Source organism: Homo sapiens, chromosome 22, assembly GCF_000001405.40.
Source record: "Homo sapiens chromosome 22, GRCh38.p14 Primary Assembly".
NCBI lineage: Eukaryota > Metazoa > Chordata > Mammalia > Primates > Hominidae > Homo > Homo sapiens.
Genome location: NC_000022.11, coordinates 48076128 through 48102598, shown reverse-complemented (window position 1 = coordinate 48102598; position 26471 = coordinate 48076128). Strand labels below are relative to the sequence as shown.

The 26471-nt window shown below is 51.1% G+C and overlaps 1 long non-coding RNA gene across 1 annotated transcript, besides 8 other annotated features; it reads right to left on the bottom strand.

Moving 5' to 3' along the window:
* Positions 1-233: a silencer, noted in NCBI's record as "fragment chr22:48498183-48498415 (GRCh37/hg19 assembly coordinates)". NCBI's record gives its function as "represses an EF-1alpha promoter that drives an FKBP-Casp9 reporter gene in an ReSE screen in HepG2 liver carcinoma cells {active_cell/tissue: HepG2}" and the evidence as "EXISTENCE:reporter gene assay evidence [ECO:0000049][PMID:32094911]".
* Positions 2394-3830, bottom strand: LOC107985536 (uncharacterized). Its single transcript, XR_001755616.2, has 2 exons — positions 2950-3830; positions 2394-2851 (listed from the first exon to the last, which is right to left on the bottom strand). It is a non-coding gene; the product is annotated as an uncharacterized LOC107985536 (long non-coding RNA).
* Positions 3698-3937: an enhancer, noted in NCBI's record as "active region_19274". NCBI's record gives its function as "activates an Ori minimal core promoter by ATAC-STARR-seq in GM12878 lymphoblastoid cells {active_cell/tissue: GM12878}" and the evidence as "EXISTENCE:reporter gene assay evidence [ECO:0000049][PMID:35858748]".
* Positions 4008-4217: an enhancer, noted in NCBI's record as "active region_19273". NCBI's record gives its function as "activates an Ori minimal core promoter by ATAC-STARR-seq in GM12878 lymphoblastoid cells {active_cell/tissue: GM12878}" and the evidence as "EXISTENCE:reporter gene assay evidence [ECO:0000049][PMID:35858748]".
* Positions 4238-4347: an enhancer, noted in NCBI's record as "active region_19272". NCBI's record gives its function as "activates an Ori minimal core promoter by ATAC-STARR-seq in GM12878 lymphoblastoid cells {active_cell/tissue: GM12878}" and the evidence as "EXISTENCE:reporter gene assay evidence [ECO:0000049][PMID:35858748]".
* Positions 11986-12235: an enhancer, noted in NCBI's record as "active region_19271". NCBI's record gives its function as "activates an Ori minimal core promoter by ATAC-STARR-seq in GM12878 lymphoblastoid cells {active_cell/tissue: GM12878}" and the evidence as "EXISTENCE:reporter gene assay evidence [ECO:0000049][PMID:35858748]".
* Positions 12266-12345: an enhancer, noted in NCBI's record as "active region_19270". NCBI's record gives its function as "activates an Ori minimal core promoter by ATAC-STARR-seq in GM12878 lymphoblastoid cells {active_cell/tissue: GM12878}" and the evidence as "EXISTENCE:reporter gene assay evidence [ECO:0000049][PMID:35858748]".
* Positions 17748-18332: an enhancer, noted in NCBI's record as "NANOG-H3K4me1 hESC enhancer chr22:48480084-48480668 (GRCh37/hg19 assembly coordinates)". NCBI's record gives its function as "activates a minimal SCP1, AML or CMV promoter by ChIP-STARR-seq in naive and primed H9 embryonic stem cells {active_cell/tissue: H9 hESC(naive and primed)}" and the evidence as "EXISTENCE:reporter gene assay evidence [ECO:0000049][PMID:30033119]".
* Positions 18333-18917: an enhancer, noted in NCBI's record as "NANOG-H3K4me1 hESC enhancer chr22:48479499-48480083 (GRCh37/hg19 assembly coordinates)". NCBI's record gives its function as "activates a minimal SCP1, AML or CMV promoter by ChIP-STARR-seq in primed H9 embryonic stem cells {active_cell/tissue: H9 hESC(primed)}" and the evidence as "EXISTENCE:reporter gene assay evidence [ECO:0000049][PMID:30033119]".

Genomic DNA, 26471 nt, shown 5'->3' with positions numbered 1-26471 from the left:
GGCTGATATGATTTGGCTGTGTCCCCACCCAAATCTCACAGGAGCCTGATATGGTTTGACCATGTCCCCACCCAAATCTCACCTCGAGTTGTAGCTCCCACAATTCCCACTTGCCATGGGAGGAACCCGGTGGGAGGAGATTGAATTATGGGGGTGGGTCTTTCCTGTGCTGTTCTCATTATAGTGAATGAGTCTCAGGAGACTGAATTTTAAAAATGGGAGTTTCCCTGAACAATCTCTTTGCCTATTACCATCCACGTAAGATGTGACTTGCTCTTCCTTGCCTTCCACCATGAATGTGAGTGGAAGTGGAACTGTAAGTCCATTAAACCTCCCAGCCATGTGGAACTGTAAGTCCATTAAACCTCTTTCTTTTGTAAATTGCTTAGTCTCAGGTATGTCTTTATCAGCAGCGTGAAAACAGACTAATACAGAGGTGGATGAAAGTCTTCCTCCTGCCCTGCGGATTCCTGTCCACACAAGCTCATACAGGCTGGATGTGTACCAGGGACACAGGCCCCTCAGCATCAATCCCTAAGCCTTCAGGCCTGATCTCCCACCCTGGAACAGGACCCGGTCCAGAGGTGCGTGAGGGCAGAGCCCTGGGCAGGACGGCCCAGCTGACCTGTGGGGCTGCTCCAGGTTCCTGTGTGGCCCCGGAGCCCATCAGTGGGCACCAGTGTCCTTCAACCCAGCATAGAGTGAGTTGCCAGCTATGAGCCTCATGCGGACCAGGTCAGCTCCTCCCTATGGCTGAAGGATGGCCGGCCTTTGTCTGGGCATCCCAGGAACTCACTTCAGGGACCCCACCTTGGTGCAGCCCTGACTTGCTGGATCGAGCCGCAGCATAGACTTTGAGATTTATTTAAGGTGAGATGGTCTCATTCCATGAAGGACAAAAGCCCACTAAGGGTGTTGGTGGGGAGGGGTCCAGAGGACAGTTCTAGCCTGACCTTGGAGAACTGAGTATTCTTTCAGTTGACCTGGGTTCTATTTGACACCCTCAAATGTCCAAGGCTCATTCATTCGTCTTTTCATTAAACATATTCAAAAAATGGCAGACCATTTCCTAAACAAAGATGTATTTAAAAACCTAAAACACAGGCTGGGCTGAAGGAGTTCCCAGCGTATTTTGGAGAGAGATGGTTGGAGGATGTTTGCAGAGAGTGGTGCAGGCACAGCCTTGGTCCTCAGATTCATGGCTCCAGAGAGAAGGGGCCTCCTTCCATTCTCCTGAGGAGCAAAGGGCACTGGAGAGACTTCTAGGGACCTGTGCACTCTTCCCCCGGAAGGCAGAGTGTCTTGCCTGTCAAGAATGTCCCCTCCCTTCCCTCAGCTCTTCCCTCCCCTCTCCTTTCTTCCCCTCCACTCCCTCCCCTTCCTCCCCTTCTCCGCCCACATCCCTTTCCCACAGGTGTGGTTTCTGCCTCAAGGATCCCCTGAGTGATGGTTTCCTCTCTCCTGTCTGAGGACCAATAGTGAGAAAGTGAAAGAAAAATTAAAACCCTTGAATTGAGCTGGAAGAAGAGGAGATATTCCTAAGGAGAACACTTGCCATTTTATGGACCAGATTAGACCCAATGAAGAGGAAAATGAGACAGAACCACCCGCACTGTGTTCAGGAGTCCAGGCTGTCGGAGGCGCGTGTGGGGTGGCTGGAGAGGGCAGCGAGGCCAGGCCAGAGGAGACGGACGGCTCTACCAGGACATGGCGGCTGAGGTGACCCCCTGCAGGGGCAAGCCCACTGGAGGGGGCCCTTAGGTGATGTGAGGAGCTGCAGCACCGGTTACCAAGAAGGAGCGTGGTTTTGAGATCTGAATGAAACACCTTCACCATCACCGATGACCTTCCCGCCTCTTTCTCAGGGTGGAGGAGCAGGGAGTCCCTACCCAGACAGAGCACAGCTGGGAGAAAGGTGGGGCAGGAGTCCCAGGGAGATCCAGGGAGGGGCAACGCTCTGGGCAGAAAAGCACAGAGACAGTGACAGCAGGAGCCCAGGGAACATGGGGACCTCCAGGGGGACCCCTCCCTCATGCAGGGGAAAATGAACAGAGCTTGGGAACAGAGCACTGGGGTCCCGGAGCCTTGGACTCCCAAACTCTCACCTGCAGGACAGAACCAGAATGAGCATGTTAGGAAACCCAGTGGCTGGACAGGGAGGGGGACAGGGAAGGAGGGAGGAGGAGGAAAGTAAGAGGAGGAGCAGAAGGGAGGGGAAAAGTGGGAGAAGGATGAGGAAGAGAAAAAAGAGGATGAGAAGAAGGAAGAAGAGAAGGAGGAGGAGGGAGAGGTAAAGGGGGAGGAGGAAAATAAGAGGAGGAGGAGGCGGCAGACAGAGGAGGCTCTGGGGTCCAGCACTCAGTTTCCTGACTTATAGTAAAGACAGATTGGAGTCACCCAAAGAAGTAGATTAATATTTTCAAGCCCATAACTGGGTCAGCTCCAGGGAGGAAGGTGACAAGGAAGGGACAGTGATGTGTGGGGCATATTGCCCTGGTGGAGGGAAGGTTTGGCCATCAATGAAGGGCTTTCATTACCCCAGGCCTGGAGGATCCCAGATCTTCAGAGGCCCAGCTCTGCACAGAGCAGCTCCTTCCCAAAGAGGCCACCCTGGGCCTCTGAGCAGCTGGATGGATCTGCCTCCTCCTGGGTTCAACTGGCCGAGCCCTGGGGAAGGCTCACAGCTGCAGCAGTGTCAGTGCTGGACACAGGACAGATGACCAACAAGACACCGCAGAGCCGTGACCTTCTGGGAGGAAGCAGCCCCAGCAAGGGTGGCTGCTGCGGAAGGAAGCCTGAGCCCCCGGGAGCCCCTCGGGCTTCCAGAGCGGAGTCGGCAGCTGAGCTGAAACTTGCAAGAGAAAGAGGATTTCAATTTAGATTTTCATTTTTCTCTGGAAACGTGATAATTGGAAGGGCTCTCACTGCTCCAAGGAAGGCATGATTCACCTTGTTGTCACCAGAGCTCATCCAGTGGTACCCCAGACCCACAGGGCAGCATGGCAGGGCAGGCTGCTTGGGGAGCAGGTGGGCCGTGTATTCCCCATCTGACTGCAGCAAGGCCTCGAAGCTCGGCTCTGAGGTGCTCCTGTAAGGCTTCCAGATGCAGAGCCAGGCTGGCAGGTGCGGACTCCAGCAGACACGCAGCCTCCTGTGAGCACAGCCTGCCCGCAGGTCATTTGGGGGCCCAGCCAGGGGCCATCCTGGTGGTCTCTGCTCTCTGCATTGCTGCAGTCCTGGCTTGCGGCTGCATGGGGAGTGGGGTCAGCCTGGCCCTTCATGGGTGCCAGCTCTTCAGTTCTGGGAGAGGGCAGGTGGCCTCAGGACTACGGCTTTCACCAACACAAGTGACCAGAGCATGGTACTTCAAAGGCACTGGGGTTTGTTTAGTGTTTAAGCCCATTCCAGTGCTTTCTGCCCGCTGTCCTCTGATCACACCTGGGGGGTGCTGTTATTGGGCTCCCCAGCCCTCTGAGGATATTGGCAGTAAGGGCTGGGGAGGTTGGGGAGGTTGAGCAGTGGGGAACAGGAAGGCACCCTGGACGAGGTGCCCGGCAACGGCAGGGAGACATGGAGGCTCTGGGGAGGGCCCCGGTGGGGTGGGAGTTGAAGCTTGGCGTCTCGAGCTGACACCCTAATTTCAAATCCGTGCCGCACTTCTCGTGAGCTTTGGGGAAAGTTTCTTGCCCTTTCTGCACCTCATATTTCCCATTTGTTAAAGTGAGGATCATGACAGCACATACCTCATAAAGCGGCTCTGAGGATTGAGTGAGTTAATATGTGCAAAGCGCTTTCAGCATTTCCTGGCGGAGAATGTGCAATGGAAGTGTGAGCTATTCCTCAAGTTGTTCACGTTTTAAGCAAATTAGATAAAGACAAACTACTCTCTTCCTTGATTACCCAAACCAGCAGACAGTGTTTACCTCAGCATGGAGTTTTTTTCAGGTTTGTTTTTTAATTATAAAAGAAGTAACATTTGATAAAACATGCAAACAATGCAGAAATTCACACTTTATATACATTCCCGGAAGTAATTATTGTTAACACGTAGGTATGTGGCTTTTCTTCTGTTCACATATTAACACATACACTTTAAAAAAAATAAAGTGGCATCAAAACGAAACCATCATATCAGTTGGCTTTCGTTTCCTGCAGAAACCAGATGTGTCTGTGGGTCACTGCAAATAGATGCACCTGCTCCCCTTTCCTGCTCACACAATACCACTTCCTCATTCAGCCATTTTCATCATCCATATTTCTTTTTTCATTTTTTTCTGTTAAAAACAGCATCACTGGGAACATGCTTATGCAGTAACTTCTGAGCACTTTGTGTCTATAAAACAGACTTTTCAAAATGAAGCATCTTACAATGTTTATAGGTGATGTGTGCTGTCAAATTCCTCTTTATAACCATTTTCCAGTTAATGATCTCACCCCAAAAATGAAAGAGTGCCCAATTCCCCCACACCCCTTTTAATATGATCAGTGTTTCACTTCTTTATTCTTGTGATAGATGAAAATCACGTTTTCTTCTTTAGTTCACATGGATGCGTTAACTTTGAGGTTGAATTAGGGAGTTCTGTTTTGCTTTTTCCCAATTGACTTAAAAGACAATGAAAGATGTAGCAGACACGTGCATTTGAGATGTAAGCATGAACATGATCAAGGTGGGGCAGAGGGGCCATGCCTGGTGGCCCCTACTGGAAGCGCTTCTCTGGGAACCTGACCACAGGAAGGCCCTGCCCTCCCCACCTGGCGGGCCGCACACACACACAATTGTGTGTGGGGTGATTTGTGGTCCTGTCAATTTTAAAGGGTGAGGCACCCCCTAAAACCTTTTTTGTTAAGGCGTTCACTAAACAAACAGGGAAGCAGGCCACACTGGAGCCCATGGGAGCCAGCTCCTCCACACAGAGGCTGTCAGGATTTGAACTCAGGGTGCCTGGAAGCCATGAGTCTCCGGTGCCTTCTCCTGTGTGCTCCAAATAGTGCTTTGCCATCTTGCTCATGTGTGACCTCTCCCAGGGGCCCCTCCTGACCTTCCCAGAGTGCAAGCGCCACCCCCAGCCTTTGCAGCTGTTGGCGAATGTCACCTGCACCTTTCAGCACTCTCAGCCCCACCTATACCCCAGCATACCGGCCGCTCACCTTCACTCCCCCAGCACCAACGCCAGCACTGCGACAGGGAAGGGGCCTTAGGATGGAAATGGCAGCCCTGTTTGGTCTGATTTTGAAAGAATCCCAGGGCCAGAGAGGGCTGTTGGGGGTAAAGGGAGTTCCTTTCCCCGAGGCAATGGGGATGCGTCAGGAAGACGCCCATGTCTCTGTTACCCCAGCCTAAGGCATGCCTGCCCTGGGGCCCTCATTGCAAGGGGACCCCACAGACAGTGAGACTAGAAAGAAGCAAGCAGATTCTTCCTGGTACATCCAGGCAGCAGGAGTGGCAGGGTGGTCAACTGGCGTGAAGCTGGCAGCAAGGAGGGGCTGCCAGGTGGCTGCAGGCATGGAGGGGCAGGGGTGGTATTCGCTCTGGCTGAGTTGCAGCCTGATGGGCAGGTGGGGGGCTCAGCAGATGCCTCAGGCAGGACCCAGAGCCTGTTCTGCAGCTCCAGATGGCAGGGGGCAGGGAGGAGGGGCTCCTGCAGGCCGGGCTGCAGCCAGGTCAGCAGGGGTGAGAGCCCTTTGGCCAGATAACCCTCACAGCATCCTCTGCTTCCACATACTCCTGGGATGTGGGGCTACAGGTTTCTCCAATCCTTCCAGGCATGGGAGGAGAGAACTGGAGCTCTCATCCCGTTTCCTGAACAAATAAAAGCAAATGAAATATCACAGTCAAGCAGCAAGCTGGTCCTAGACAGACACCCTGGAGTCGCGGATGGACCTGGGAGACACTGGCTGAGGAGGAGACACTGGCTGCGCGGATGGACCTGGGAGACACTGGCTGAGGAGGAGACACTGGCTGAGGGCTGCTGCGTTATTCTCCTGCCCAGGGGGATAGTCTTGGGCCTGAGTTTGCCCTTGGTGAAGTCTCCTGTCCTGCACCAAATTCCAAGCACGCTGGCTGCTCACTGCAGGACAGAGTCCAGATCCTCCTCACTAGGCTGATCCACAGAGTGGGCTCTTTGCCCTGGTCAGGACAGGCTTTGGGCTGGGAAAAGGATTCTGTCCAGTCCAGACCCCAGAAGCCCCTTCTGAGTCCGGCAAATGAGGCAGGGCCTGATATGCCAGAGGAGATGCTTAGCTATACCTCCCAATCCCACCTGTACCTACACATCTCACCTGAATCTCCCCTTCCCACATGGACCTGTCCATCCCACCTGCACCTCCCCACCCCGCCTGCACCTCCCCACCCTGCCTGCACCTCCCCACCCCGCCTGCACCTCCCCACCGCACCTGCAACTCCCCAACCCACCTGCACCTCCCCATCCCGCCTGCACCTCCCCAACCCTCCTGTACCTCCCCATCCCGCCTGCATCTCCCCATCCCGCCTGCACCTCCCCATCCCGCCTGCATCTCCCCATCCCGCCTGCACCTCCCCATCCCACCTGCATCTCCCCATCCCACCTGCATCTCCCCAACCCACCTGAATCCCCTCCTCCCATCTGTACCTCTCCATCCCACCTGTATCTCCCTGTCCCACCTGCACCTCGCCATCCCACCCGTATCTCCCCATTCCTACCTCCAAGTGCAGCTGCCCCTCTGCATCACATTAATGCGGCTGCTAATTGCTCTAGGTGGGAGACTTGCAATAGCCCTGAGCCTGTCTTCATTGCAGGAGGCTGAGGAAAATCACCCTCACCCAATCTTAAATTTCCACCTGGCAGAGTCTGGGTGTGCTTGTCTTTCTGTTGAATAGGAAATGTTTGCTTTCATGGGAAAAATAAAATGTCCCTTTTGACTGCAGCCTGCGGGTTCTATCCTGCTTGTGCAAGAGCTGAATTCAGATATCTTAGCCATTTTCTCATAAAAGAGCCTTTTCCTAAATCACTACAGTAATGCTGTGTAGACTTACATAAAACATCCACACCTCCCCAGCCCTCAGCATGTTCCAGTAGCAAATATGTGAGTTGCGCTTTGCAGGTGAAACCATTCTGTTTCCACCCTCATCCTTTCATCTTCTCCGGGTCTCTCCTCTCCCAGGGTCCATACCCCAGCTTGGATATTGCACAGATATGCAGAGCAGAACAGGCTCTTCAGCAGAAACCAGAAAATGCCCGCTAGTCGTGGAGATATCTTTCTAATTAACCATAGAAATGAGGTCTGTGTCTTCATTCTCATTATGATCATTATACTGTTTCCAGAGGAAAAGTCAGCTCTGCATGGCTACAGGATCTTAGAGCGATGTCTCGGTGTCTGGGGCTCTTTGAGTCTCCCTAAGCTTCAGATGAACCTGGTAGGTGATCCCACAGAAAGATGGGAGACCAATTGCATGTGATACTGGCTCTCCTGCCAAACATGCCTCCGCCCATTTGTTTAACCATTGGCTCATCCACTCTCCAAACACTGCTGAAGGCCACTATATGTTTGTCCTTATCAGATGCCAGCTGTTTCAGCATACTTTTTCATATTAAAGTTACATTACACCCTAGGAGAAGGTCATGATTTTGTATGATCACCAAGGGCTGTGGTGTCTCAGGTTGGATTCCTGACTTTGTCATTTGCTACAAAAATGACATCATGCAACTTATTTATTTATTTATTTATTTATTTATTTATTTATTTGAGACAGAGTCTTACTCTGTCACCTGGGCTGGAGTGCAGTGGTGCGATCTCGGCTCACTACAAGCTCCACCTCCTGGGTTCATGCCATTCTCCTGCCTCAGCCTCCCAAGTAGCTGGGACTACATGCGCCCACCATGAAGCCCAGCTAATTTTTGTTGTAGTTTTTCAGTAGAGATGGGGTTTCACCATGTTAGCCAGGATGGTCTCGATCTCCTGACCTCGTGATCCACCCACCTCAGCCTCCCAAAGTGCTGGGATTACAGGCATGAGCCACCGCGCCGGCCGTCATGCAACTGATTAAGTTCACTTGACCATGTCCACATGTTCTTAATTGCCTCAAGACTTTCTTTTTATATTTGATTTGTTTGAATCAAGAGCAACTGGCACAAGTATTCGGTGGTTTTGTCTCCAGTTTCATTTAATCTCTGATAGCCCCTCCTCTCTTTTTTGGGGGTGGGGGGAAGGGAGCTTATTAAACTTGTTGTTGATGTATCATTTGACCTTAGAATATCTCAGTTTGGCTGATCAGTTTATTTTTGTGCTATTCGAAATGTTTCTACAATCCACCAACTTCTAATAAATGGGTGTTTGCTGTCAAGACCCAGCAAGCTTCAGGTTCAATGTTTTGGGAATGAGCACTTCCCTTTTTTTCTCTCAAGAGGCACATGAGTCCAGTTGTGCCGTGGTAGCTATGTCGACTGGGATGAGAGGGTGGGTGCTGTCAGCCTGGACTGTGGTCCATCATAATCTCCTCCGATAACTCCTCTCCCGGTGCAGGGGACGGGTGGCATTGATGACGGCATTCTGGATCCGGCAGCTCACTGGTGGTCACCAAATGGTAATCTTGAAATTTTATAACTCTTTCTGAATTTATAAGCTGGTATATTTCTATAACAATCTTTTCCATCAATGATTCATTTAGTAATATATTTAGTAATCAATTTATTTAGTAATTCTGAAACATGCATCTTATAGGAAAGCAAGGTAAATTTTGATTTTTTTCCTCCCTTTGTTCTTGAAGTTTTCAGAGGAATGTCAGTGGTTACCTTGGCCACCCCCGGTGATGAGTTTGATTTTTGAGTGTCCTCACGAAGTTATGAATGACTTTCAATCAACACCCATTAGATTCCTTATGATGCTCAAATGGTCTCCTTTCGCTCCATGTCCTGTTGACACAACCACAATGACTTCTGGTAGCTTCTTCAGTTTCTGGGGTAGCAAGTTCCTCAGGCTTGCCATGCATAGTTCCTGCCTGAGAACTGGACTTAGCCACTTTCCTGAAAAGCCTTGATTCTTTTTTGTTTGTTTACGTTTTTGAGATGGAATCTCCCTCTGCCACCCAGGCTGGAGTGCAGTGGCGCAATATTGGCTCACTGCAACCTCTGCCTTCCAGGTTCAAGCGATTCTCCTGCCTCAGCCTCCTGAGTAGCTGGGATTACAGGTGCCTGCCACCACACCTGGCTAATTTTTGTATTTTTAGTAGAGACAGGGTTTCACTTTGTTGGTCAGGCTGGTCTCGAACTCCTGACCTATTGATCTGCCTGCCTCGGCCTCCCAAAGTCCTTGGATTACAGGTGCGAGCCACTGCATCAGGCCAAAGCCTTGATGCTTTTTTGTGGAAAATCATGCTTAGAGAACATAATCCAGGTTCCTAAGTGCTCATTGCTGTGGACTATTAAAGTTTCTGGGCGTTTGTGTTGGACTGAGCTAGGAACTAGATAATAAATTTTTTAAGAGAGAAACAAATCATTAATTTATGCTGATGTTTCCAATTCTGACTGAGGACTGCTGGGTTTTTCCCGAACTCCTCGATGTTACATTTGCATCTGTTTTCTATCATGTTGGAAATCTTGGCTTCAACAACATCAATGTAAATAATATTTGTTTTATTATACAAATATATATAAGCTAATTTCAAAATAACAATATTGATTCTAACAATAAAACATCTGAAAGCGGTCTTTTTGTGTCTCTTGGGAGACACAGTTGAGATTCAGAATTTAAAGTCAATTATAACAATTATTTTTTTTCTTTGTGTGCTTGCCACCAACTCGAAATACAATTTATTTCAGCTTGTTTTCAAATTTCTGTGGTCTTCTTTTCTTTTTGATTCAAGCTTTAAGGATTATTTTTAAATGTAGATGGTTTCAAAAGCAAACTATAAAACAAGGTGTATTCAGAGAGGTTTCTCTCTTCTTCCTTCTGTATCTTCCCTCCCCCAGTGGCAACCATTATAATTCATTTTTGATTTATTGTTTCATGTGTTTCTCCATTTTTCCATTTAAACAAAAAGAGAAATATTTTTAGAGCACTGTTCTGTTCATTGTTTCTTTTCTTTCTTTCTTTTTTCTTTTTTTTTTTTTTCGAGACGAAGTCTCACTCTGACCTCCAGGCTGGAGTACAGTAGTGTGATCTCAGCTCACTATTACCTCTGCCTCCTGGCTTCACACAGTTCTTCTGCCTCAGCCTCCCGAGTAGCTGGAATTACAGGTGCACACCACCACGCCTGGCTAATTTCTGTTATTATTAGTAGAGACAGGGTTATACCACATTGGCCAGGCTGGTCTGGAACTCCTGACCTCGTGATCCGCCTGCCTCGACATCCCAAAGTGCTGGGATTACAGGCGTGAGCCACTGCGCCTGGCCGCCTCCATAATATTAAACAAAACCTTCAACCCCTCAGTCTGAAGGGGTCACATTTGGGTTCATTTTCTGGTACAGCAGTTCCTCAAGAACGGCAGGCAAGCATTTGCCTCGAATCTCCCGACAAAGTTCAGCACAGAAGAAAGGGAGGCTTGGCCCAAGGACCACACCAACGTCTGCCCACAGTGGAGTTGGCTGGCCATCCACTATGATCTGTGTTCCACAATGGCTCTGAGGTTTTGGCGTTTATTTCTTCATCCAGCAGGCATAACTCTTGCTAATGCAGAAAGTGTCCAACGGCATGCAATTCCGATGTGAAACACCCAACATTTGAAAAGTTACTTTTTCTATATAGACCAATCCCATCAGATGAGCTGGCCCACGGTGCTTCAGCTGTCTGTCACTGGCTGTGTCCTACCAGACGGGGAAACCCCTTCCAGGTGGGGCTGGGGTCTCCGGACTCCCACATGGCTCATGCCCACAGTTGGTGCAGGGAAAAATGCCAGTGAAGATGAAGGATGAAACATGAGAATAAAATAAGTTTTATAACTTACTTTTTAAATAAGCAGGTATAAATTAAAATCAATATAAGAAAAACAGGCTCCCCAAAATAGAAGAGGGGTAGGAAAACCGATCTTACCCAGGCAGGCCCAGTCAATCCCCCAGGAAGGAAACCTCCAACGCAGAACAGTGGGAGCAGCTGGAGAAACAGGCCTCGTGAGATCTCAGGACGGGGCTGGGACTGAGGCAGAAAACCAGGAGGGTGCAGGCAGGTGCATGGGGAGGGAGGGGGGCCTTTTGGTTTTGCAGGATGTGCTGTGTCACACTTGAGAAGGTGGCAATGTAACTTCACTGCTGTGATCAGGGACCTGTGAATCCCGAATATCTGAGACAGGTCTCAGTTAATTTAGAAAGTTTATTTTGCCAAGGTTGAGGACGCGCCCATGACACAGCCTCAGGAGGCCCTGATGACATGTGCCCAAGGTGGCCAGGGCACAGTTTGGTTTTATACATTTCAGGGAGAAATGAGACATTGATCAGCATATGCAAGATGAACATTAGTTCAGCTTGGAAAGGCAGGACAACTCGAGGCGAAAGCGGGACAAATGGAAGTGGGGAGGGGGCTTCCAGGTCACAGGTAGACAAGAGACGAATGGTTGCATTCTTTTGAGTTTCTGATCAGCCTCTGCAAATGAGGCAATAAGATGTGCATTCATCTCAGTGAGCAGGGTGGGGGGCTTTAAATAGAGTGGGAGGCAGGTTTGCCCTGAGCAGTTCCCAGCTTGACTTTTCCCTTTAGCTTAGTGATTTTGGTGGGGCGGGGAGGGGCCAAGATTTATTTTCCTTTCCTAGAGGGCAAACCTGCTTTCTCTCTCATCCCCACCAGCTGGGATCAAGTCCATGTATTCCATACAACCCAAAGGCCCTTGTCCACTTTATGCTGCCTCTTTCTGCCCTTTGGGAGCAGTGGGAGGCACACCCCAGCCCCTTCTCCCTGCGTCCTGTGCGAGTCTCCTGGCTTAGCTGACTTTCGCTTTCTTATAGCCTGCCCAAGGAGGCATGGAACAGAGACCCTGGGGAAGATCGGGTCCACAGTCTACCAGTGAAAGGACTGAGCCCAGAGAGATAAAAAGACTAGGCCTGGGTCTTAGCAGTGAAGCTGCAGCCCCATTCTAGGTCTCCATAAGCATACAAGTGGACAAACAGAAGCCTGCTGCTGCGTGGGTGCAGAGAAAAATCCCAGTGCTCACAGGCACTGAGCATTTACCGTGTCTGTGCTTAGCAGCCCCAAGGGGGAGGCCATTCTCATTCTTCTTTTACAAAAGAGGAAACTGAGGCAGGAGAGGTGCCGTGCCTTGCCCTGGGCCTGGGGTGTGACCCGGAACGGGCTCTGGCTGGCGTCCTGCTGCTGGCACCACCGGCCGGGGAAGGACTGAGTCATCCTGGCCCTGTGGGAGTGGGAGGACGAACGGCTTGCTGTTCCAGCTTCTGACATGTGATAAAACAAAACAAAACAAACCCGAGCCCTTAGATTATCTGATTTGTGGTTTAATTATGTGTCTTCGGAGATGATTTAGGGGCTTAGGAAGGAGGCGGCAGCCCAGGCTCTCCTGGCTGTCCTCAGCCTGGCCCCGTCCTCCCGCTGAGAGCCGCAAGCCCAGCATGCTCAGCTTCCCTTCAAGAGGGGACCGTGCTCAGGACCCTGCAGAAAGCAGGTTCCAACTCTGACCCTGAAAGGGTCCCGGACACAGCTGTGTAGTGGCCTTGGCATTCCTGGACACAGCCATGTAGCAGCCACGGTGAGCTTAGGGCAAGAGGCCACGAGAGTCAGCCTTGCAGTCAGGTGACCTCAGCCTTGCTGGCCATCTTGGAGGCTTGTGATGGGACAGATTAGTAACAGAGGACAGTTCCTGGGACAGGAAGGAGGGTGGGAGACCTGCTGGGTGTCTAACGAGGAGTCCAGGCCCAGAAAGCTGGCCTCTTGGCAAGAGATTCCACTCCCTGGGACGGAGACGCTGGGAGGGCAGAATTTGTGGGGCTCAGATGCTCTCAGGATATGCGGGGGGCACCACCTGCTCAGTGAGCCTCTAGGTGTGCACACTCTCCCCACCCCGCCTGCCTCCCACCCCTGCTGCCCTCCCATCCCTCCTCCCTGCCTCTGCACCCGGTTCCCCCATCCATGCACACTCTTCTCTCTGACTGCGGCACCAGCCCCTCATCCTTAGTTGCTGGCTCCATGCAGCCCTCAAAACCCACGTCAGCCTGGCTGCTCCAGGATGCCTTTCCCCAGGCCCTCTGCCAGGCCTGCTGTGCCTGTCTCTGGGCCCCCATTCCCCCTGCAGGTGGGAGTTAAGCAATTTCCAGCAATCCTAGGAGTGGGAGGGAAAGGGATTGTCTCCCAGGCCCAGATGCTGGGGACAGCAGTCTGGTGGTAAGAGCCGGAGTCCCACAGCCAGATGACAGCTCCTCAGACATCTGGCGGAGACCCAGGGTGGCTCCTGCAGGGAGGAAAGAGACAGAGCAGGGCAAGTTGGGCCCCAGCCATGCCGCCCTTGAGGAGACAAGGCCTGGAAGGAGATGAGGCCTGGAAGGAGACCATGCCAGACTTGTCTCTCTGGGCCTGGCTCATTTCACTTGGCATAACGGCCTCCAGGTCCGTCCATGTTGTTGTAAATAGCAGGACTTCCTTCTTTATGGCTGAATAATGTTCCATTGGGTATACATCACATTACAGTACGCAGTCTTCCATAGACACACATGGAGATTGTTTCTGGATCTTGGCCCTTGTGAGCAGTGCTACAGTGAGCCTGTTCAGTGTGCCAATCACTCCTTGAAATACTTACTTCGACTCCTTGAATATACATAATTTTTATTTGTCAATAAAAATTTGACACAAGGGATAAAAATGGGACAAAACCCCCCCAGAGCCATCCCGCAGGCACTGCAAGGCAAACAAGGGAGTGGCCAGGGCGCTCCTGACCAGAGTCAGTGGTTCTCAAATGATTTAGTCTTAGGAACCCTTTCCACTCTTGAAAATCACTGAAGGCCCAAAAACCTTGGGTTCACATGAGTTATAACTATCGATATTTACCATGTGAGAAATGAACACTGAAACATGTTTTAAGTGTTTGCATATTTTTTAATATAAAAATTGCAGTCAGCTCATGATGTGTAAACATAACCTGTTTTTAATTAAAATTAAGTGTTTTCCAAGACGAAGCCAAAGTTAAGGAGAAGAGTGACATTGTTTTATATTTCTGCAAATCTCCCTAGTGCCTGGTTTAACAGAAGACAGATGGGTTCTCATCTTCTCTTCGGCATGCAAACTGTTGCAATATGTTATTTTGGGTGAAGTATGCAAAGACAATTCGGCCTTGCATAGATATCCAGGTGGAAAATGGAAGCGTATTTTCATAGACTTTTCAGATAATTATGAAGATTATTTTTGATGTTACATCAAAACTTAACAAACGGTAGTTTTTAAAAAGTTAGTTGCCATGTGGAATCTGAAACTATATCAATTATCTTTCACAATGAGCTGCATTCAAGAAAAAAAGCCAAACATTGGTCAGCCATCAAATAGCACTGTTACAAAGGCATGGTCTTGTGAGATCATGCATTGGTTATTTGAAAATATTGGTTCACTGAATTATGAAGACCTTTCAAATATTAACACATGATATTATTGATATAAAATTGCATTCCTTAGTATCACTACTTACTTCTTCACGAGAGTTTTTAAACATTGGGAAACTCTTAGTCTCTCAATGGCACATATGTGTTCGTCAAAATTCCAATTTTTGCTTAATATTTCCAATTTGTCATTCATAAATACTGTCATTTGTTTGTATTGAAGTGATAGAGGCTCATTGTTTCATTTTTAGGAAAATGGTTGGCAAAGACCCACGTCTAAGTAACCACAGTTTGTGTTAGCACAGACGTCCCTACGAGGAGGAGTGTTCTTTCATGAAGAGAACAGCTAGCTCAGCCCGGAACTTAAACAGCCATACCAATGCTTTTCCTCGGGCCAGCAAGGTTCCTTCCATGGTCAGCAGAGATGTTTTCAGTGCACTTTCCATCTCTTCACATGGAATACTAAAAAGATGCATGCTCCAAGGTGAAGTTCTGTGCTGCTTTGTCAGGGACATTCATGAGTGAAACAGTGTTTTCCCATCTTACCTCTGTCTGTCTGTCCATGCGTTATCATCCGTCCACCTGCCTTACCGCAAACGTGTGTGGTGAAGGAGACGATGACAGTGGCACATGTTGGAGACATGCTATAATTCATTGCAAGGCATCCTAAGTCTTACCTGTTGCCATCAATTCTGCACACCCTTGCGAATGTCAACACAGTGCAAAAGGCAAGTCACTTCTTAGCAAGCGTATGAACATAGTTTTAACCTGAAGAACACCCTGAAATTATCTCTGGCACTCCCAGGGGTCCACAGAAGGCAACTTGCGAACCCCTGCCTTAAATAATACAAGAAATGGCCGGTATCATTCCTGAGACCTCATCTGCTGTTGCTAGGACCTGGTGCCTCACCCTTTCTGGGAAAGCGAGAGCCGGATTCTCAGCATCCAGGAGGGTCTTTCTCTCCCTGCGCCTTAGTGTTTGTTTTCTTCGTTTCTTCTCTTAGAAAGCCCAGGTTCCCACCATTGCAGATCACTCCAGACTCAGGAAGTTCATGGGTCTGAGCTGGGATACTCACCACACCACTGTCCATGCGTCTGTGCAGCCCCCACCCCCACCCCGACCCGGGCCCCGACCCCCACCCCGACCCGGGCCCCGACCCCCGCCCGACCCGGGCCCCGACCCCCACCCCGACCCGGGCCCCGACCCCCGCCCCGACCCGGGCCCCGACCCCCGCCCCGACCCGGGCCCCGACCCCCATAGTCACTCCACTCAGTGCTCTCTGCTCACCCCTCCTCCTCTGTCCTGAGACCCCCTACCCATGCACTTTTTAAACTCCACGTTTATCTCTTGAGCCCCTGTTCCCATGCAGGCACGGGACCTAATCTAAGACACAGAAGTTTCCCTGGGAGAACAAAAGTGAAGCGTTCGAGACGCTCACGATGTGGTGGGGAGAAAGCTCCACGATTCAACCCTTCCAAAATAAAGTGCACAGTAAAACCCACAGGGAGGGGCCCCTGATGCTGCGCAAAGGTGCAAACGACCCACACAGCCTGGGTACTGGGGCTGGGGTGGAGGAAGGACAGTCCCTCTGGAGGAAATAATGTATACAGTGGTCCATTTCCAAGACAAAGTGCCTTAAATCAGCTTAGGTCAGCAAACTACACAAAAAAAACAGAAGATACTAGGCTCCTGGTTGGATAGCTGACACCTGCTTATTGGTACACCCCACTTTTCTTGCCCTCATCAGAACCAAAGAAGTTTAGTCTAAGATGAAGGTTTATCAGCCTGCAAAATGGCTCACTGTCTGTTCTTATCAGCCTGCCCAGCTACTTAGGTCATAAGTCAAATACTTAAAAAGCCCCTGAGCTAACTAGGATTGCAATGCAGTGTTGGCTGCAACAAAATGCAGCAAGACAACCCTAAAGAAAACACCTAAAGCCCCTGCCCAACAACAGACAGTTGACGTCTGGGAAGATTGTGGCCCCAGAGTACTCAGCCTATGAGGAACCGGGGGAGGGGCCTGCACACTAGGGGATAAGTTGGTTGTTGTGGCTGTGCTGGGTGCCCCTGCCCATCAGACACCCGATCTCACAAGATCATCATTAAAAGTCTCACTTTCACTGTTCTCCGGGTCTCTGAGTCCATTTTTTGGGTTTGGACAGGAGAGTTTGTTTCCCATACCTCAGAGAAGACACGGACTCCAGCCTGAAATGCTGGCTGGAGAAGGCAGTTGCTCAGGTGAGTGTTGGGGGAGCACATTTTGCAGAGAGCAGGAGGTCCCTCTCTACCCATTCCAGACCCTTTTCTCTCCTCATTTCCCTCTCACAGAACAGCAGATGCCCCCAACCCTGCAATCTCCCACCAGATAAAACCTTTGAGGGTCATATCAGGCCACTCCCTTTATCTCTTCCCTCACCTCCAATCAGGTACAGAGTCCTGGCGATTTTCCTCCTTCACGTTTCCTTCTTCACGTTTCTGGCATTCCATGCCAGCTGCCCTGGGCTCCCTCTAAGCCAGAATGCCCAGCCCAGGACGTACCTGAAAATCACCCTGATACCTTTCAACCAATACTCATTCTTGGCCTCCACCTCCAGGGACTCTGACCCCATCTTCCTGGTGGTGTCTGAGCAGTGGGGTGTGTTTACTAAGTTCCCCTAGTGATTCTGATGTACATGGGAGCTGAGAACCCAGATCTAAGCCCTCATGGCTTCCCAGCTGAGGTGGCGGCTGTCCCTTGCTGGTCCTACAGGTACGGTTAATCTTCTCCAGGCCTGCACCTCGGCCTTCTCCCACATGAGCCCCTACAGGGCACCCTTATTTTATTTAATTGAGGAGTAACTTACAGTAAAGTCCATAGATATTTAGGATATAGTCAATAAATTTCTATGTATGTCACATGATCAAGGCCCTCCTCTAAATAAGCTTCTGGAATATTCCCAGTGCCCCGGAGGCTCCATGTGCCCCTCCCAGCCAGCAGCCCCACACTTGTATGAACACAGAGGAGTGGCCTGGATTTGGAGCCCTGCAGACGGGGGCTTCTCTGTGCCTGGCTCCTGGCTCCTGGCTCCCTCCCTCAGCACCTGACTGTGTGGTCCTCCCAGTGGCTGCATTGGAGCCCCTTCCTTGCTACGCTGTGCAATCTTCCCGCACAGGGACCCTCTCACACACACACGGAGGCCTCCCCAGTCGAGCCTCTGCAGCTGCAGCAGCCAGGGCACGGCGGCATTCAGAAGCAACAGTGTGGGGGCGCAGAGGCCCACAGGAAACGTTCTCCAGGACCCCGAGTGCTAGGTAACCCCCCCGTTGGCATGCTTGGAGGTTCATGATTTGAAGACAACAGCACGTGTTTTGTCAAAAATTTGTACATGTAAAGAAGGCACGAAGCACACTGGGACAGCTACCTTGTGAAGGGAGAAGGGGAGTGTGGAATGGAGAGCAGAGAGGAGAGGAGGCTTGGGCTCTGCATTGTGCACCTGGGGCCCAGCCAACCAGTCGCTCTCCAAAACCATCCTGCGCTCCATCGGCTCTCAGGACAGAGTCATTCATCCTCCTAGAATGCAAGGGTCTTGTTAGGAATCCTGCTGCTTCCTAATGAGTTTCCATCTAGTCATCACGGGACAAACAAAGCTTGCTTTCCAAAACAAGCCCCGGTTGTTGACGGCCACTTGACATTTGTGTGTGGTTTCCATCTGCCTCAGATCTCTTCCTACCACAGGCCTCCCTTCTCACTTCCCACTTTAACCACAGCCCAAGAGCCCTTTCTCTGAGGTGACTTTTCCTGCCCAGCCCGAGGCTGAGTCTGATAAGGCTGCAGTATCCAGTGCCCCAAGCCTCCGTGGTCAGCACCTGCCCCCGAGTTCTGGTCTCTCCCTTCTTGTAATTCCTCCCACCAAGGCGCAAGGCTGAGGCCTGGGCCTGGACCCTGGGAGCCCCGGCAGCCCCTCCACGTGATGGCTGAAGGGAGCAAGCAAGGTCTGGAGTGAGAGAGGGACAGCAGATGCAGGGGTAGCCCTTTGAGCTGGAGCTCCTGGGCTGAGGCTGGAGGGTCTGCAGAGGCAGGCAGGGCCACCTGTGGCCACCTTGAGGCTATTTCCTGGAGTTTGGACTGAGTTGCCCCACAGATGGAGGGTTGTCAGCAGAGCCTACACAGAGTCCAGGACTCGTTGTGGCTGTGGCCAGGCCTCCCGGAGCTGCATTGGAGGAGAAACTGCTTGGCAACTCTGTCCAGTCTTTGACCATTTCCCATTGAGTCAAATGCAGTAAACGTTGATTCTTGCCTTGAGGTCGAGTCTCAGAGCTTTCCTCCAGTTCTAAACTTGGCTATAGAGTCCCTGACTTGAGGCGATGTCAGAGTTCTCAGCATTTCAATGCTAGTCAAATTGAAATGTGAAACGTCGGTATCTTTGGAGACAATCACTGACGGACAGCTTGATTTGTCAGCACCCAAGGGAGTGGAGACTAGGGAGGAGGGTGCAAGGGCCTGGCTCTGTGGTCAGACCCAGGTTCTCGGCACAGCCACCTACCGGCTGTGCTGACCTAAATGGACATGTCCTTCTGCCAGCCTGAACCTCCATCCCTCCGTGCACCACGAATGTGCAGACGCTGGTGCTCGCCCTGAGAGGTGCTGTGGGTCCAGGGGTGTTCGTGTCATGCATTACAGAGCAGAACGTCTGGCCTATTAGACACCTGTTAGATCACTCCTGTTGTGAAGTGTTCTAATTTTAAGATGTATTTTAGAATTTACTCTGCGTTACATTAGAAAGTTGCTGTGTCTAATTCCTATGCTTGTTTCCACCATGTACTTCAGCGTGGAGAGTCAACACGACGGAGATGGTTTATTTTGAGATTTTTCCCTGCATATGTTTATTTGATGCATTCTCTTTAAAAAATTGAGATCCATTTGGTTTAGGGCCAAATAATAACTTAGCTGAAATAGAACGTGCTTTTAACATCACTTGATGTCCAGTAACATGACTTGAACTCAATTAAGCTGGTTCTAGGACACCTTTCCATTTGCGTTTCATAATGGAAAGCAGAGTAAATGAAAAAGCAATCAGTATAAATATGGAAAGTGGACACTCTCATAATCACCAGATCATTGCTGGAAATTAAAAAGCAAACGCGCAGGCCCATGGTTCCCCTGCAATGCTCTGCTGGGCGGTGCGGACTTGAATTGGGTGCTAATTAAAGCTGTGCAATAGCGGATGCATGGCGTTCGATTACTTTGCTGAATCCAGGCGTGAGAAGGTACTGTCCTTATGACAATGGTTAATTTTCTTATTGGAGTTCAAAGGTACAGAGACCAGGGCTTTTATTGATAAATGGTCAGACGCCCGTGTGCACATTAATTTCCACTGGCCATCTCGGGCATGGTGGAAATGAATGCACAGCCATGGGTGGAATTAAATGCATTTTTCATCATCTGTGAACCCTGGGAGAGAAAAAGGCTTTAGCGGCCTTAATAAGGCAGACAGGAACTTCAGCCCAGTTTTTCACGTCCACACTGGCTGGGCACAGAGCCTTGGGTCTCTCAGGTCCAGCTGCCTATCTGCCCCTGGGAAAAGGAAGGACAAGGAGCTTCCTCGAACAGTGAACATGGTTACTGGGTGCCACCCAAGCCCTCAGCAGCGGGGACCTACCACTTTCTCACCAGCTGGCACTTGGCAGACTCGACTTGAATGGTCTTTGCCCCAGTCTCCCACTATCTAAAGGGCGGGAGGATAACCTGCTTCATGCAGGCTCTGTGATGATGAGAGAGGTCCCAGCCTGCAGGGCCCTGCCAGCCCAGGCACCTGACACAGGGGGGACCTAGAAGCACTGGTCCTTGCTGTGGTCAGTCATCACCGACATCACTGTTATTATTATAGAATTACCCATGTGTTGAAGGGCCTGAATCTTCCCCCTCCTGAACATCATCATCCCCTGCGGGAGGAAGGGGCGGCTTTCCATCTTTGGAAATGAACAAGCAGTCACCAAATCCTTGGCCAATGTGCTCACTTAATGTCACAGCCAAAATCCCCCAGCCATGTGGATGTCAGCACCATTCCTAAACAAATGTCCAATGAGAGGTTTGTGATTGAGAAGTGATATTCATCACAGTCCTGGTTGGGAATGATGATAAAGAAACACCGTGCTTGCGGCCTCTGCTCATACAGGTAAGAAAGGGTTAAGGGAAGGCAGTGATAGGGGTGAGCACACAGGGCCCACAGCGCAGGAACTTCCCTCTCCCTGCTTGGAGAGGAAAAGGGAGCAGCCCTTCCAGACCCTGGAGACAGCGGTGCTGGTGTGGGTGTGCCCTTCTGTAGGGGGACACAGATGGCCGTAGTGACAACCCAGGGGGCGGACTCTGGCAGTGGATCTTGGGCTTCAGCCTTCTTCCTTCTGGGATCTTTCTTGTGCCTCCGTGTGGCTGATGCCATCTGAAAAGCAAAGGGGTGGAGAGCTTGTGGACATTCTCATGCAGGCATTCCCCCGGGACGCGGAGCAGGGAGAGGGGTGGAGAAACCGTGGACACGCTCATGCAGGCAGCCTCCCAGGACACGGCGCAGGGGAGAGGGGTAGACAGGTGAGCGGGAAGAGCCAGTGGTGACATCAGTGTAGATGCCCTTGCATGGTGCCCCTGACCAGGGCCCTCTGGGCTGCCTCGGTTTCCTCTCGGCATCTGTGCCATTGGCAGATACATTTGCCTTCCCATAGGCACTCCCTTGAGACGCACCGTGCTGGTTTCTCTTGGGGTCCTGGGGCTCGGGATGGCCACACCAAGGCCTGCATCTTTCCCCGGACCCTGACCTCGGGAGACTATTGCCTCACGTGGGACAAGGCTTCTCTTCACCAATTCCATCTTTCCATTCCACGTTGTGGCTCTGGGGGAAACACACCTGTTTACTCGCCTAGGATAAACCTACACATCTATGGCCACTTCTGACAAGGTTGGGTGGGAGGCAAAGGCCAGAGAGCAGCACGGGCAGTGTCAACCAGGAGACGCAGGCGTGCCTGAGAACCATCACACTCAGGGTGCTCTCAAAGCCTGAGCTTCAGCCCTTATGCTGCAAAGGGACAGGAGCATGAAGGGAGGAGAGAACAGGCCTCTAGGAGGAGGGCCCGGTGCCTCTGCCGTGGGGCCTGCGTTCCCTGGGGCTCCAGCATACAGCAGGTGCGCCTTAATTGCCAGAGCCCAGAGCCGCTGCAACTGTAGGCGGCACTTAGTTGTGTGGTGGGGGAGGGGGAGGGGTTGATTGGGTTTGAGGTTGTGTGTTGTGTGTTTGGTGTGTGTGGTGTATGTGGGTTTATGATTGTGTGTTTGGTGTGTGTGGTGTATGTGGGTTTGCGGTTGTGTGTTTGGTGTGTGTGGTGTATGTGGGTTTGCGGTTGTGTGTTTGGTGTGTGTGGTGTATGTGGGTTTGCGGTTGTGTGTTTGGTGTGTGTGGTGTATGTGGGTTTGTTGTTGTGGGTTTGGTGTGTGTGTGGTGTATGTGGGTTTGCGGTTGTGGGTTGTGTGTTTGGTGTGTGTGGTGTATGTGGGGGTGTTGTGCGTGTGTGTCACCTACCCCTTCCACCTGCGTGGACCTGTGTGGAGCACCGCCCCGAGGAGCTGGCGTTCAGTCGAGTGGGGGGATGAGTAAGAGGTGGCCCTGCCTGGGCCTGGTGGAGGCTTCGGGGCCTGAGTGATCACGGGCACTGGTGAGATTTGGTCAGGTCCCTCCTTGAGGAGAAGGTCCCTGAACCCCTCCATCCTGCCCTCAGGAATGCTACTGGAGTTCTGGGGTCCAACTGGGATGAGGGATCTTCACCTCCCTCTTCACTCTCATTCCCAAATGTTTTTTATAGGAATTCAGATCTTCAGCCAAGCTGACTGTGAAATGAGCCCGTGGGTTCACCTGGATCCGCAGGTTGTGAAAGTCTGGCTGCCCCTGCTTCACCCCCTCTTACATCTGCTGGAACATTCAGAACTGAGCTGCCAGAGCCACAGGTGTTCTCCACAGAAGGATGTGCTGTCACCGCGCCTGGGGCACTGAAAATGGGCACAGTGACCGCGAGATACAATCTGGAGGCAAGTGTCCCCATTCTCCCTCAAAACATCACATACAGCTGTTTCTGTTCTTTTGCTCTAAAAACCCAAGGTTTCGTCGAGTATCTTGCATTTGGTTGCCTTCCTCGTGAGCAGGTGGATGCGTTTCTTGCAGCCGCTGTAGCAAATGACTCCCAGCTCAGTGGCTTGAAACAGTGGGCATTTGATCCCTCACGGTCATGGGGGCCAGAAGTCAGAAATCGGGGTGTTGACAGGGTCGGCCCCTTCTCGCTCCCCTCCTCTCCTGGTGGCTGCGGCGTCTGTGGTGTTTGTGGCTTCATCACTCCAGTCTCTGCCTCTGTCTCCACGTGGCCTCCTCCCAGCAAGTCTGTCTTCATGAGGTATTTTCTCTTCATATAAGGACACACTCTTTGGGTTAGGGCATACCCTGATGACCTCATTTTACTTGATGATTTCTTTTTTTTTCTTTGAGACAGAATCTCACTCTGTCTCCCAGGCTGGAATGCAATGGCGCGATCTTGGCTCACCGCAACCTCTGCCTCCCAGGTTCAAGCAATTCTCCTGCCTCAGTCTCTCCAAGTAGCTGGGACTACAGGCATGCAACACCTGGCCCAGCTAATTTTTGTTTTTTTAGTAGAGACAGGGTTTCGCCAGGCTGGTCTCGAATTCCTGACCTCAGGTGATCCACCCGCCTGATTACATCTTTAAAGGTCCTATCTCCAAATAAGGTCACATTCACAGGTACTGCATCTCAGGAGTTTAACGTATGTTTTGGGGGGACACAATCCAGCCCATAATAGGGGCTTCAGTCAGGTGCACCTGCCTGCCAGTTACTCGCTGTGTGTGTGGTCCGTGCTGAAGAACAGAAGCTGGGGTGTGGTGGAGCTTTGGCTTCTCCATGGTGCTCTCTGAAGCCCTGGCTCCCACTTGAATCGTCCCAGTGGCCTGAGGATCGTGATGGGGAGGAAGCCTCGTCAAGCAAAACAGGCAGGAGTTGGGGTGTCAGGTAGTTCTTAGGGGCCAGCCTTCTCTGCCACCTGCTCCCCTGAGACTTCAGGCAAGGTTTGTGTCTCTCCTCTCATTTCCTCCATTTCCTGCACCACGAGATAATGGTGCAAAGGCTGTACCATCCAGAGTTCAATGGCAGAAGGACTCTCCCATAGATGATCACACACTGACCCCACAAAACCCTCCAAGCACAACAAAGGAAAACACATCAGGGACTAAATGCAAAGCAGCACACAGGGCCGAGCCTGGGGTCAAGGTGGGTCCTGCACCTTCCCTCCCGGGCATGGACTGAGGCTGGTGGGGTAGAAAACACTATTTCTTCTATGGTTCCATGGCTTTCTTTCTGATCACATTGGCCCTGGGGGGACATCCAAGTGAAGGAGCTTTGCTCTGGGAAGAGAAGATACTGGGTCATGTGGTCGAGACACTAGGCTCGTAGACCTGGCCCTACCTCCAAATTCCAGTGACTGTGTAGAGTCAGTGGATCTCTGGGCTTTTGTCTCCTCATATGAAAACTGGGCTCACCATTGTCATCCTGTGATGCACTGATGGACAGGTGGACACTCCAGGATGGCATCTGGCCCATGACGAGGTTGCTGTTAGAGGGTGATTTTCTTCCCTTCTCCTCTCGTCCTCCATGTTATAGTTAAACTGTGGCTCCCAAAGAGATGTGTTCAAATCCTATCCCCGATACCTATCAATATGACCTTGTTTGGACTAGGACAAACCCTGAGTCCAATACGACTGGTGTCTTTATAAGAAGAAAAGAGACTCAGAGATACACACACACACACACACACACATGCGCACACACACTGGAAAAGCTATGGGAGAAGCCACAGAGAAGAAGATGGAGGCAGAGACTGGAGTGATGCAGCCACGTATCAGGAATGTCCGGGGCCACCAGAAGCTGGAAAAGCAGAAGCAGGAAGGATCCTCCCTTAGACCCTCCAGGGAGAGCCCCGCCCTGCTGGCACCTTGATTTTGGACTTTTGGCCTCCAGAACTGTGAGGATGCATTTGTGTCGTTTTATGCCACCTGGTTTGTGGTACTTTGTGCCAACAGACACATGAAGCTCATGCAGCCCGGCGTGCTCATTTTGGGTGGGGAGTGGGAGGTGCACACACATGCATGCACACAGGCACATGCACACACACAAATGCACATACACAAACACACGCACACACACATGCACACATACAAACACACATGCACACACATGCTCACACATCAGCATTTGTGCATCTAACTTCAAGCCCCCTCTCTTCCCCAGCCCCCCTGTGTATATAAATCAGGGATACGTTTTTTACAAAGGGGAATGATCCTTAATGCCCCTGCAGCAGTTCATACAACTGGGTGAGGCTGTCACCCAAAACAGAGCCCCCTTTAGAAGATGAAAGACCAGGAGAACGTCATCTTCCACCCACAGGACAGCCTGTGGTGGGACAGGAGGAATGAATGTTTCCTAAGAGCTCTTCAACCCAGCTGCCTCCAAGACACCACAGAAGGAAGCTGTGTTAATATTCACTGCAGAGACGCCAGGCTTACAGGAGGCCACGTACAGGCGTGATGAGGGGGACCTGGTGTTGTTAATGAGCTGTGTGATCGTGAGGCAGGCACTGGACCTCTCTGTTCTATGGTTTCCCTGATTGCTCCTGGTGAGAGACCTTTCCTGTCCCATGGGGATGTTGTGAGGACAAATGAGGTCATCACTGTCAAAGCAGTTTGAACACGAGGGGATAAAAGGCAACACCACATAAATGCAAACTAATATACTTATTCCTGGGCTAGAAATGTCTCCTTACCTCTTGCCAATAACACTAGTTTGTTTCTGTAGTATATTACAATGACAAGCTTTTAACTCCCACTCTTAAAGCAGGAAATCCTTGGCTGTTCTTGTTCTCTGCTGGGGAGGAGACCCAAGCAGTGGGGTCCAACCACGTACATGCGGGTAAGGGAGGAGTTCAGGTGGAAAGCAAGCCTCGGGGTGATGTCCAACTTGCCCAACCTCCAGGCCAGGTCAGATACCTCATGTGCAGGACACCTCCCAGGTGCTCAGCACACGTTAGCGAAGCGATTTCTGCTCTGCACTCCCCACCACCTGAGTGGTGGTGAAGGACATGTCTTTTCCTCCCCTGGGAGCTCACACCTTCTCCCATGGTGTTTGTGCGGGCAGCTCAGTTTTTGTCAGAGGAACAAAGGAACAGATGAAGCAAGCTGGGAGCAAGGCGCTTCACTTGTGAACCAGGAGTGTTTATATTGTGTCGAGTTAATCAGCCACAGAAGCACTCAGCCCACAGCCCATCCATGTGGCCAGGAATCCTGCGTGGGGCCCGGAAATTCAGAGGCAGATAAAACCCAGCCTTTGCCATTGAAGACCTCAGAGTCTGGTCAGGAAAAGAGATGGTAACAGTCAGTTACCAGGCAGTGTGAATGAAATGCAGAGATGGGGAGAAATAACCTAAAAATAAGAGGAAAAGTGGTTGCCTGAGAAGGGTAGCTAGAACCAGCTTCCCGATGGAGAAGGGAGATGTTCTCAGTCCACAGAAGCACAACTTGAGGGCATTTAGATCCTTGGACACACAGGTCTAAGAAGAAATGTGTTGTGGGATGTCAGGGGCCAAGAGAGGAAGGCTGAGTCCGGAGGCCAGAGGTGGTTGCAGGTTTCCAGCTTGATTGCTTGATGCAACCGGAGGCGTGAGAGCCCCCGCTCGAGGCCCCCTCCTTCTGGGCCTTGCTCTCCGCGTGCCAGTGGTAGCCTCCATGAAATGTGATCCAATACAAGTGGATTAGTCAGGGTTCTCCAGGGAAACAGAACCAATAGGATATGTAGAGACTTAAGAGGAGATTTATTATGGGAATTGGCTCATGCGGAGGCTAAGTCCCACGCCGTGCTGTCTGCAAGCTGGAGAAGCAGGGAAGCTGGTGGCTTAA